The sequence below is a fragment of the Homo sapiens genome, chromosome 3 (genome assembly GCF_000001405.40).
Source record: "Homo sapiens chromosome 3, GRCh38.p14 Primary Assembly".
Lineage (NCBI taxonomy): Eukaryota > Metazoa > Chordata > Mammalia > Primates > Hominidae > Homo > Homo sapiens.
Window position 1 is genome coordinate 150,408,150 of NC_000003.12, and position 12,484 is coordinate 150,420,633.

The 12,484-nt window shown below is 42.4% G+C and overlaps 1 protein-coding gene across 6 annotated transcripts in view, besides 6 other annotated features; it reads left to right on the plus strand.

Moving 5' to 3' along the window:
- Nucleotides 149-12,484, plus strand: part of TSC22D2 (TSC22 domain family member 2) — a 58,125-nt gene continuing 45,789 nt past the window's right edge. For all 6 annotated transcript variants that reach the window (NR_130136.2, XR_007095779.1, XR_007095780.1 and 3 more), the window contains exon 1: nucleotides 149-3,159. Coding sequence is in view for 3 of the 6 variants with exons in the window: in NM_014779.4 (NP_055594.1) it covers nucleotides 1,202-3,159 (1,958 nt within the window). In the remaining 3 variants the exon portion in view is untranslated. The remainder of the gene's footprint in view (nucleotides 3,160-12,484) is intronic.
- Nucleotides 240-839: a silencer, noted in NCBI's record as "silent region_14814". NCBI's record gives its function as "represses an Ori minimal core promoter by ATAC-STARR-seq in GM12878 lymphoblastoid cells {active_cell/tissue: GM12878}" and the evidence as "EXISTENCE:reporter gene assay evidence [ECO:0000049][PMID:35858748]".
- Nucleotides 1,210-1,259: an enhancer, noted in NCBI's record as "active region_20686". NCBI's record gives its function as "activates an Ori minimal core promoter by ATAC-STARR-seq in GM12878 lymphoblastoid cells {active_cell/tissue: GM12878}" and the evidence as "EXISTENCE:reporter gene assay evidence [ECO:0000049][PMID:35858748]".
- Nucleotides 1,510-1,679: a silencer, noted in NCBI's record as "silent region_14815". NCBI's record gives its function as "represses an Ori minimal core promoter by ATAC-STARR-seq in GM12878 lymphoblastoid cells {active_cell/tissue: GM12878}" and the evidence as "EXISTENCE:reporter gene assay evidence [ECO:0000049][PMID:35858748]".
- Nucleotides 1,940-2,219: a silencer, noted in NCBI's record as "silent region_14816". NCBI's record gives its function as "represses an Ori minimal core promoter by ATAC-STARR-seq in GM12878 lymphoblastoid cells {active_cell/tissue: GM12878}" and the evidence as "EXISTENCE:reporter gene assay evidence [ECO:0000049][PMID:35858748]".
- Nucleotides 1,940-2,845: a biological region, named in NCBI's record as "H3K27ac hESC enhancer GRCh37_chr3:150127902-150128781".
- Nucleotides 1,966-2,845: an enhancer, noted in NCBI's record as "H3K27ac hESC enhancer chr3:150127902-150128781 (GRCh37/hg19 assembly coordinates)". NCBI's record gives its function as "activates a minimal SCP1, AML or CMV promoter by ChIP-STARR-seq in primed H9 embryonic stem cells {active_cell/tissue: H9 hESC(primed)}" and the evidence as "EXISTENCE:reporter gene assay evidence [ECO:0000049][PMID:30033119]".

The window sequence follows — 12,484 nt, forward strand, 5'->3', positions numbered from 1 at the left end:
TTTAGCCCCGCCCATTGCCCCCCACCCCAGGTTCCACGCGAAACTGCAGGAAACCGGAGGGGGCGGAGCGGTGACGTCACGACGCCGGTGCGTCACGGAACGGCGGCGGCTGCGGCGCTGGCGGTGGCTGCGGCAGCGGCGGCATTTTAGTCGGCAGCGGCGGCGGCAGCGGGGCTGCTGCTCCTCCCAGCATCCCTGGCGCGGCCATTTCAGCCCCATCTTGGCCCAGCGGAGGGAGCTGCAGCCGCCGCTTCAGCAGTTTGAATTTCAGTTTCTTCGGGGTTTAGGAATTGGGCGCACCGAGGAGGAGCCGGAGAAGCCACCACCGCTACCTCACACAGCCGGGGCGCCTCCGGTCCCGTGCCAGCGGTCTGCCGCCGCCGCCCCTCTCTGAGAGAAGCCGCGAGGGGAGGCCGAGACCGCCGTCGCCGCCCGCCCGCAGGGGTGGTTCCCCCTGTAAGGGGAGGACCGAGCCGGCTTTCCCCTCCCCCAGAGCGGGTTTCCGCCTGAGGCAGTCGACATGTCCCTGGGGCTGAGCTCCGGCTAGAGCCGGGGAGGGAGGGCCGCCTGCCCGCGCCACAGCCCCACCGCCCGCCCGCGGACCTTCAGCCAGCTCCGGCCCGCGGCTCCCGGCTGAATTAGGCATCTCCGACTCCGGACTCGCCGCTCCTTCCCTCAGTCAGAGAGCCCAGCGCTGACGCCGGCACCGGCCTGAGGAGCCCGAGCGGGGCAGCACCGCCCCTCACGCCGCCGCCACCGCCTCCTCCTCCTCCTCTTCGCCCTCCCACTCCCACCCCCAGCCAAGGCCTGCTGACCGCGCCGAGCGCCGAGCTGGACTGACCACGGCTGCCCGGAGACGAGAGAGGAAGCAGCCGGCCCGCCCCTGGGTTCGCGCTCTCGCCGCCTCTGAGGGAATTGAATTGAGGCGCCGCGGCTGCGAGAGCTAAAAAGGAAGGAGGAGCCGCCGCGGGACTGAGACGGGGGCAGAGCCGAAGAGACCGACACAGAGAAGGAAACGAGGAGGAGGATGTCTCACCGGGCGGCCAGCGCCTGGATCAGCCCGTGACTCTTAACAGCGGCGGGCCTCAGACCCCAGCGCAGACTCGGACTTTGTCTTTGGGGGCCCGTGCTCTGCCCTCCCCGGTTTCCGACAGGACCCAGAGGAGCCGGCGTGCCTCTCTGCCCTCCAGCCTTCTTCACCATGTCCAAGATGCCGGCCAAGAAGAAGAGCTGCTTCCAGATCACCAGTGTCACCACGGCCCAGGTGGCCACTAGCATCACCGAGGACACCGAGAGCTTGGACGACCCGGACGAGTCACGCACAGAGGACGTCTCCTCCGAGATTTTCGACGTCTCTCGGGCCACGGATTATGGCCCTGAGGAGGTCTGCGAGCGCAGCTCTTCCGAAGAGACGCTTAACAATGTTGGGGATGCGGAGACTCCCGGGACCGTCTCCCCAAACCTCCTCCTAGATGGGCAGCTGGCAGCGGCGGCTGCTGCTCCCGCCAACGGAGGAGGAGTCGTTTCGGCCCGGAGCGTGTCTGGGGCGCTCGCCAGTACCCTGGCGGCGGCTGCCACTTCGGCCCCCGCCCCCGGAGCACCCGGCGGCCCCCAGCTCGCGGGCTCATCCGCCGGGCCAGTGACTGCAGCCCCATCTCAGCCTCCCACCACATGTAGTTCCCGTTTTCGCGTGATCAAGCTGGACCACGGGAGCGGAGAGCCCTATAGACGCGGCCGATGGACGTGTATGGAATACTATGAGAGGGATTCAGACAGCAGCGTCCTGACTAGATCCGGGGATTGCATTAGACACAGCAGTACTTTTGACCAGACTGCGGAGCGGGACAGCGGCCTGGGCGCCACCGGAGGGTCGGTGGTGGTAGTAGTGGCCTCCATGCAGGGGGCGCACGGGCCCGAGTCGGGAACTGACAGCTCCTTGACTGCTGTGTCACAGCTACCCCCGTCGGAGAAAATGAGCCAGCCCACTCCGGCCCAGCCGCAGAGTTTTAGCGTTGGGCAGCCACAGCCGCCGCCGCCACCCGTAGGTGGGGCTGTGGCTCAAAGCTCGGCTCCGCTGCCGCCGTTCCCGGGAGCCGCGACCGGGCCGCAGCCAATGATGGCAGCCGCGCAGCCCAGCCAGCCCCAGGGAGCGGGGCCCGGGGGACAGACTCTGCCGCCGACGAATGTAACCCTGGCGCAGCCGGCTATGTCCCTGCCTCCGCAGCCGGGCCCTGCAGTGGGCGCCCCCGCGGCGCAGCAGCCCCAGCAGTTCGCGTATCCTCAGCCTCAGATACCGCCCGGACATTTGCTGCCCGTCCAGCCCTCCGGCCAGAGTGAGTACCTGCAGCAGCACGTGGCCGGCCTGCAGCCGCCAAGCCCCGCGCAGCCCTCGTCCACCGGCGCCGCAGCGAGCCCCGCCACGGCGGCCACCCTTCCCGTGGGCACCGGCCAGAATGCTTCCTCGGTGGGCGCGCAGCTCATGGGCGCGTCTTCCCAGCCCAGCGAAGCCATGGCCCCCCGGACGGGACCAGCGCAAGGCGGGCAGGTCGCGCCTTGTCAGCCGACTGGAGTGCCCCCGGCTACTGTGGGAGGCGTGGTGCAGCCGTGCCTCGGTCCTGCCGGGGCTGGGCAGCCCCAGTCCGTGCCTCCGCCGCAGATGGGTGGCAGTGGTCCGCTGTCAGCCGTACCTGGTGGCCCTCACGCCGTGGTGCCCGGAGTTCCAAACGTGCCTGCAGCCGTGCCCGCTCCAAGCGTGCCTAGTGTGTCTACCACTTCTGTTACTATGCCAAATGTACCCGCGCCTCTGGCCCAGTCGCAACAGCTGAGCAGCCATACGCCAGTCAGCAGGAGCAGCAGCATAATCCAGCATGTTGGGCTGCCCTTAGCGCCAGGCACACACAGCGCACCAACAAGTCTACCACAGTCTGACCTAAGCCAGTTTCAAACTCAGACCCAGCCTTTAGTCGGGCAAGTCGACGATACTAGAAGAAAATCAGAACCCCTACCTCAACCACCACTTTCTCTCATTGCTGAAAATAAGCCTGTTGTGAAGCCGCCTGTTGCAGATTCCCTGGCAAACCCCCTTCAGTTAACACCTATGAACAGTCTGGCCACCTCTGTATTCAGCATAGCTATTCCTGTTGATGGTGATGAAGACAGGTATGGAAATCTCTATTTTAAATATTTGATAGAAATGCTTGGCCAACATTGTAGCTTAGGATGCAACTTTGGGAGATTGTTGTCAACGGAGGCCCTTAGCATTTTTAAATACAAAATTTAGTTTTTGGTAAAATTGATTTAGATTGCTGATGCTGATGTCAAAGGGTGTAATGAGCGAATTGGTCTTGTCACCGTTGTTTAAAAGCACTAAAATGGGTAGGGATGCAACATTGTTTACTCAAAAAAAGGTGAATTTAAGCTTAATGCTTACCATTTAATGGTGGTAGCTAGTGTGTTATGCTCCCATAGAATTGTCCTTTTCTTACATATCAATCACACTTGAACACGTAAGGCAGAGAGATTTGTCAGTGTGAGTTTTGAGGCTGAGACATAATAATACTACAAGTTTTCCTTTCTGGAAAACCAGAAGGTCCTCTAGTGAAAAAAAAAATCTATGTAAGGAATCTTCTCCAGTGTATCTGGAAAGGCTGGAGACATAATGGTGAAATGTCAAATCCGGCTTTGAAGATCATACTTAGTTCAGCCTTTTGATTAAAGGAGGTACAAGGTCACGAGTCTTCCCAGGGACTTCTCTAAGATACTATTTTTTTGTTGTTAAGCAAAAAATGTACTGGAAAGATATTCTTACTTTCCATCAGTCTATTTATTATAGGAAAGGGAGGTTGAGATCGATCCTTTAACTGTAGTGAAAGCTATAGTTCTTGAAATTAAGAGTAATTTTATAATAAAAGTGTAAATGTTAATAATTGGCTCCCTGTATTTAGGGATGCTTTTTTTAATGGCCTAAATAAGAATTAGTGTATTGCTACACCAGTGCCACAACAGCTGATGTTTGGTTATGGTTTAGTGAGGATTTTTGTGGTTTTGAGGAGATGTCACATGTAAATTTGACATACATATTGCAAAATTTTAAAAGCTGACTTGTTGCAATGTTTTAAAATTATATTTAAAAATTATAGAAAAAGTTTCAGGAATTTCACAGTTAGACATTTCTTTGCTGGGGTTTTTGTTTAGCGAGAGGCTAATTTTAGGTGTTTTTAAAAGATACAAACTAATATTATGGATTTCCAGAATAATTAGTATGTGGAAGAATACAATGACATGTATGTTAAAGCTTTCTCTTCCTATGGTTTCTTCTGAGTTCCTTCACATTTCTTAACCTCCCATTTCTAATTAGCCTTGTATTTTTGTTATATACTTCTGTTGGTTTGAAAAATACTCACTGACTGAAATTCATTCATCTTCTCTGCTTTTTGTAATTTAAAGTTCATCTTTTTTTGTAGGTGACTTGCTTATGGGGAGTCTTTCTTCACTTGAGAACGCTTAGAGAATACCACGTGTCCATAAGTGAGCTCAGCTAGCTAGTCATTGAGAAATTTTGTGTGTGTGGGACTACTAAGTAAACTGACTCCACAAGCCACTCAGAAAAATCCCTCTACTTTTATAGTTGCTCCCATTGTCACACACAGGGACACACCTGTAACACAGATTGAGTTTATTTTTTCACCTTTGGTAATAATCAACAGGCATCTTCACTTTTCTAGCTGCCACAAGCCAATTTTTTCCTGATAAGTTGGCAAATAACCTTTTGCTTTCCTCTGTTCCTGTATACTGCCCATATCTCTTCAAGAAATGATGACTGGTTTCCTGAGCTACCCCGCTTTCTATACACACACACACCCCTCCACCCGAGAATGCAGATTACATTTTCCCTTCTGTGCACACCTCTCTCAGTTTACAGCATCCATACTTAGATTCCTCAGAACTTTAGTACGATGATAAGGCATGAAGCAGAGACTTCTGTTGATAGATGGAAACTGAAATGTATTCTTTAGGGTATGACATCAAAAATGCATTTATTTTTTCCTCTTACTGTATTAAGAGTTGGTAATCTGAAAACTCTGATTTCCAAATTTGTGAATGGTTGAACTACAGATACTACTGTATCAGTGTTCTTACCAATTGCAACAGTTAATTCAGTGCAGGGGTTTTGATGTATGTACAGTCCTATTTTAAACATGACACTTCCCTCCCTTGCCCCAATCATTTAAAATCTACATTGCTTACCAATGTTCATTTCTGATTTTTGTTACAGTCTTTCATTGGTTTTTAACTTGACATGCTAGTTTCCAAGATGTAATCTTACACATTTGACTGTTTTGTCACTGGTCCAACATACCTGGTGAAGGAATAAATCCATTAGGTAGAAATAGTTGGGTTTTTTGTTTTGTGTTTTTTTTTTTTAATAGAAAGCTTTGGTTAAAAAAAAAAAAAAGAACAGGGTATTTTAAAATTTTGTGTTTGAAATTAAATAACAGTTTTCCAGGCATATGTTTAAATTACTGAGATGAGTACTTTTGAGGAGACTACTATCTTAACTGAAAATTTTAATTTTAATGTGATTTTGGGTTGCCGCCTTAAAATCTGCATGTTTTCAAATTTGAAATAAAACCAACTGGAGTGAGAGGTCTTGACTAATTGTGATTTAAACTTTGCAAGTAGTTTGACAAATTTCAGATCCTAAGGAAATATTTGTAAATAAGATATATGCTTTTTTTAAAAAAAAATTAGGACTTTAGTAAACAGTCTATTTCTTTGAGAAAAGAAAGGAAAATGGGAAATTAACAAAAAGATTGAGGTGGTTTAGGTTGATACATTGAAAACTCTTATCTTGAGATTTTGGTTCCATTACCTAATGCAAAGTTCTATATTGGCTTAATTTTGAGATCATTTATAATTAAAGAACCGGGCCTTATAGTAATACATCTTAATATTATCACACCTTTAAAAGGCTGATGGTTGTATATGCAAAAAGTTCTCAATTAGCATTGCCTATTGACTCTACATTATTAATTACCATAAAGTTTATCTTTCTGGCCATTTTCATTAGAAAGGTTTATGGTCAGTTGTTGAGACTCTTCAGATTGATTTTGTGTAAACTCGTGGATGTGATGGTTGAAAATACAGTCCTTAAATATGTAGCTACTTTTATAGTGAACTTTACAAAACTTGTTTAAACTACGTACACACTTAACAGTCTCCTGTAAATGAGAGGAGGTGCAAAATATTACTGGCCCTTTTGGAAAAGGAACACAGTACAGATCACTTTCCATAGATAGCCAACCAATGTGAACTCTGTAGGCCGCATTCCAGGAACTCTTATGAATGGCTGCAATTGTGAGCTGTCATCTGTGGCCAAAAGACTGTTGAAAACCTGATTCTAAGGATCCTTTGGTGGCAGATATTTCTATGTCTTGTTAATGGTTTTATTTGTGTGGTTTGCTAATGATCACTGATAAAATATTATACATTGTGAATGTTAAGTGGTGTGTCCTGGTATGTGCCATAAATACACATTTTGTTTGTACATTTATATATATTTTAAACCAAATTCTGCTGCTTTTTTTACTTGAAGTTTAAGTGAGAGGATTAAGTAAATGTATACCAGGAGGCAGAACTGTCTCAGTCTTCGACCTCTGTTGTATGAAAGTCTCACTGAATTGAAGTCTCTAAAGATGGAAATTTCTTACTTGAATCTCTGTTTCTTGGAAGCTGACATTTATCTGTTAAATTGTGAAGGTAATTTTGCTCTTGTAGGTTTACAGTTGATGTCTGAATCACATACTAGATACTATCCTATGCCTATCTACACGTTTAAGAGTGTTCTTACTGAGGAGTTAGTAGTAAAAATGTAAATTCGTATATATGTGTCATTATTGTTTAGCATAAAAACTGATACTGATGTATTCATCAGGGATTACTGATGGATACCACATGGATTACTAAAACATACTTTATTCATAAACGTGGCTTGAAATAAAAGAAATGACAGATTTCCAAAAAGGCTTACGATTTTCCAAACTACCCGAAATTCCTAAACCATGAGCTATATCTGTAGGAGTGTGGCCTTTTATATTCACAGTGACACATACTGTATAAAATTTTATGTGCACTAAATCATATAGGCCAAACATTGGTAAATTTTTTTAGAAAACATGATGGCTTATATGTGTGTGAATAATACAGATTTCCAGCTGACTATTTTAGTAACACTTGTTTTTTCTTTTTAGGAGATCACAACCCCTGAACTAAATCACCTTTATGAGAAGTCATTTTATATAGGACTGGTGGTAGGGGTATATATGTCCTCTACTTCCTGAGAATAAATATAATGCCAATTCATTTGTTATTTAAGAATCCTGGGCCAGGAGCGGTAGCTCATGCCTTGTAATCCTGGCACTTTGAGAGACCAAGGTCAGAGGATTGCTTGATGCCAGGAGTTGGAGACCAGCCTGGGCAACATAGCGAGGCTTTGTCTCTACAAAACATTTAAAAATTAGCCAGGTCTGGAGGCCAACACCTATAGTCTTAGCTACTTGGGGAGGCTGTAGGAGGAGGATTGCTTGAGCCCAGGAGCTGGAGGCTACAGTGAGCTATATTATAATATTGCACTGAAGCCTGGGCCACACAGCAAGGACCTGTCTGTAAAAAGAAAAAAAATAATTCTGATAGCACTAATTTGGAAATAGTGAAATATGGTACTGGATCTATGAATCTGGTACTTCCTAATTAGGAATGGGAGTCTATCTTTCTCTGCACCAGAAAAGATCAGAAGCAGTTATGAACAAATAGCAGCCCCACCAATCAAGTAGTAGAGAAACCCAAATAAATCTGTTTCCTAATAAAGGAATGGTAGTTAGGAAAGTATAAAAGGAATCTGACCTTCCTTTCCTAAAATGGCAGGAGTTGGGGAAGGGGAAGTGTAGAATGATAGCAGATAATCAAAATGGAAGAAAGTACAGTGGAGTGGCATGAAATATAGTCTCAAAAGAAATAGGAACACTTGTGAATACTGAGGAATGGTGTTCTAATTCTTTCTTTGAAGAATTGTTTTAGTCCAGTGTGTATTTCCTTTTCTGAAGATTCTGTTTATTTCTTAATTGCATTACTCGTTAAATACTTAAAGTATGAGGAAGGAGAGGCCTTACAAAAGCAGGTCTGTCTGGTTAAACATAGCCTGAATGATATTCCGTAAGTAATTCCTTAAATTGGAAAAGCAGATTTTTGGTAAGAAATATTAATCATATTTAAGGAGTATGTGTAGCAAAACTCCTAAATTAGAATAAATTATTTAAGTGTATGGTTTTTCTTTATACTAAACCAGTGGGCTTGTGATTTGAGGCTACTGTTTTCGATGGTATTGTATTGAGTCCACAGAGAATATGTATACCTGAATCATTGGTATAATGTCTTTCCCACAGCAATTCTTGAACATATCAAATTACTCGATATTTGTTATATTCTTAATCTGGCATTGCTTAGGGCAAAAACTGGGTGTCCCTCATAAAAAGGTAGGAACAGTAGCCAGTTTGCACCATTCCTATACATTATTCCATGACTTTAGGAAGTATACTTTGAGGTATACTCTTCAGATTTGGTTTAATAATATTAAAGGTATATTGATGGATTGTTTCCTGTATGAAAGTATTGCATGATTTCTGCTCTTAAATCAGGTGAATTAAATTTCATCTGGATTGCTTATCTCAAATTTAAAGCCTCAAATCAGACTTAAATAATTAGTATTTAGTATTTAGTTTGATTCCTTTGTACCCAAGCTAATTTTTGTTTAAAAAGAAAAAGTGCTTCCATCCTTTTAAGTAGTACATTTATTTGTGATGTTAGTGAAAGTTCTGCAGGTAACTGAGTTAATTTTATTAGTGTTTGCCTGGGACATATACCTATTATTAGGGTAGGCAGGACAAATAAGTAAAGTCTAAATGTTAAATTACTTAAAGCTTCTTTTCCCATAAGCCTTTCCTAAAATTTGTCTAAAGAATATTGCTTTGTAGAAGATGGAGTTTGTGATTAATGTGTCAATTATTGTAAATAATGATGGCATAGTTTTAAATGTTAGTTTTAGGCTGTTCATCTTATTACACAAGTATATAATTTAATCTGAATAAAGGATTCCCAAAGGTAAGTGTAAAGCCTCTAGTTTCTAAAGTAGAGTTAGTATTTAGTTTTTATCAAGTGGTTTTATATGTTAAAGCAAAACAAATCTTTGCTTGGCATACCGTCTACCTAGTCTTTGAAGACAAAACAAAGGAGGGAGGAGCTGTTTTGATCAAATAAAACCAATAGCGTGTTTAATTATGTGTTAACATATGTGAATGACCATTACAGAGACAGTAGAGTCAGACATACCCGGGCTAAAATCTAACTGCTACATTTGACTTTGAGCTAGTTGGTGTAGATGCCTTGTTTCCTCTTATGAAAAATGGGGATTGTACCTACCTGGGAGAGTTTTAAGGAATTAAATGATGTGTGCAAGTAATTTGAACAGTCTGTAACATAATATATGTGGCAAACGTGTATCACAGAAATGTTAATATTTCAGTGTCCAAACTGCTCTCCCAGATCACCCCTTTACATGTTATAAATCATACCAAGAATCTTCCATTTTAATATGAAAGCGTAATTGTATGGTATGGATGTAGTCAGAAAAAAGGAGATGATGTTTTAGTCTAGACGAGTCATGATGTTGTAAGAAGTATAGGGAATTGTGTTCCAGTCCTGGCTCTTCTATCATTTAGCTGGTTTCTTTGGTCAAGTCATTTCACTTGTCTGTTTTTCTTTTTTGAGACTTTGTCAAATTTTAAGATTCCTTCTAGCCTTATGTATATGAGACCATACATTCAAGTGTGCTTCATGAGAGAACTGCAAACTTAAACTTTCTTCTTTTTACCCCTTTCCTGCCACTTGACTATTGTGTGGCAATAAATGAAGTTTGTAAATACTCATTAAGTAGGTTGATTGCCCAAGAAAACATTTAAAACAGCTTATCAGTCATTCAGCTTTCATGATGCTCTGTGAGTAGTGAGCACTGGAATACAAATATGAGACTATGCTGCCCTCCTAGATCTCAGGCATTTTCATCATCATGAAAATGATGATCAGATGTATACTTTGACATACATTGGAGGTGGTGATGGAGTAATATAAGGTGCTAATGGGAACAATTTGAGACATCAGATCAGATTGGGATTGGGAGGGTAGTAGACTGACTTCTATTTAAAAATTATTCTCTGCATAGGTATTTATATAGTTCAAAACTCAAAATATATAAAAGAGTAAAATCGAAAGCCTCTCTGCTACCTCTGTCCTCCAGCCACCCTGTTTGTCCTTAGAAGTAACCCATTATTACTTGTACATTCTTTTGAGGCTAACTCTTGAACTAAATCTTAAAATGGTCATTCAGATTAAGTCACTAAGAAGAGAAGGGGATAGTTTTCCAAGCAGAGGTAAAAGGCAGTTTGTATAATGATGTGAAAGAGTGAGAATCTATCATTTGGAAAATGGTATTGTTAATTTGACAAGAACCAGAGTGAAGGACTTTAAATGTCATGGTAAGAAATTTCGATTTTTATAGTAAGTTGCTGTTAAAGGTATTTCTGGAAGCTTTTATTGTTAAAATAATATATATCTTGAAACGATTTCAGTATCCTTTTAGTGATTATTGCATTTTAAATTATAATCTTATGATAAAGCTGTGTTAAGGGAATACCTTCAGAGCGCTGAGTCCCAAAAATCAGAATTCTTACCTAATGAAATGTGCTAAATATTTTGGTACCCCTGGCTCTAAGTTTAAGTATTCTGTTTCCCTCAATATTACCTTGATAATGTCAGAACATTTGGTACATGTTGAGATACTCTACCAAAATTTGATTTATAGGTAGCATAATTTGGAAACTAACCTTATATTAAACACAAAGCAAGCTTACTTGTGTCAGGTCCTATGTATATAGACTTTCATTTGATCTTTCCAACAATTTGTAAGAAAGTGGTTTCTTCCCTTCCCCCTTTCTTATGGATTAAGGAAACTGAGACTCTTAAAATTTGAGTCACCTAGGTATTGGGTGACAAAGCCTAGACTCATATTCAGACCTTTAACCTAAAGCCAGTGCTTTTGAATATTCCCAGAGTTAGAAGTTTGTTTTATTACTTGGCACACAATAAGTTAGGAAGAAGGAAGAACTACCATAGCCACTGATTTGTTGTATTGTAACCCTTTACCTAAAGGATTTTTTTAATCATTTAAATTCCCCAGATAATAATACTGGAGATGGTGCTTGTTGATGTTCTTCATATTGTATGTCCCTGGTTTCTATTTAGAGATCTCTGAAGTCGAATTTTGGCATAGATTAAGAGAAAGAGGTGTTTGTTGAGTGCTCAAGTACCTTATGCTTTAAGCTTTGACAATTTTTGTAGCTTAGTTTTGAGGTATGGAATGTTTGTTTTTTTCTCCCTGTTGTACTTAGTTACCCTACAAAGATAGTGTCTTGCAAAAACAGGTAGACATGCCACATGCTTTGAGTCATTTTCTGATGTAGTATTTTCACATACTTGGAAATTAATGTGATGGACTATTGAGTATATAAAGTCAGAGAGAAAAGAATGTATTTTGTTCAGTGATGTTAAAGAATATTTACAAATAGGAAAACAGCATTTTTGTTTAGGTGGCTGAAGTACAGTGTAAACCACATCTCAGTCTTCCTAGAATTGCTTCGTTGGCTCTATATTTAGAATGGTAGTTTATATTAATATCAAATAAACTGTTAAAAAGCTGGTTTCAAATTTTATTTCTTGAGTGGAAGAGAATTTGTGACCACAGCTGCATAAAAAGTCAGTATTTCCTTCTAATAAAATTTTTAATTTCAGTTGCCTCTTCATGCTTTCAGGTTTCATGGACTGTAACCTTGAAATGATCCCATTAACAGCCTTTTCCTTGGGCTCTTAATCTCCTCAATTTTATGCCATTCCAAAATAGAAGTCTCTCTGATGATCAAGCCTTTCAATCTTTACAGATGGCTCTTTTCCCTTCTACTTCCTTGATCAGTGATTTCACAGACTTGACTCCTTTAATCTGTTAGTCAGTGTTTGGAGACTAATTATTGTTGCTGTTTGCTACAAACCCCTCAGTTTATGGATAACATCCCAGTTATAGTATCCCAGAAACAAAATTTCATAGCTTATAAGACTATCTAAATTTTTACCCTTAAAATCTAGACTGTTTAAAGTTTTATGTAGTACATAGATTGTGTAACTGTGTACTATAGAAAACCATGTACTGTGGCTTCTTCACTTTGAATGTATGTAGAAAGAGTGATTGTTAATTGTTAGCTTTTGCAAATTAAGTGTATTCTAATATGTGCTGAAAACTTTAGGTCCATTTATACAGTATTTTATTTCACAGGTTCTTTCCACATCCCAGTATTTACTACTAACTACAAATATGTTCGTTTTT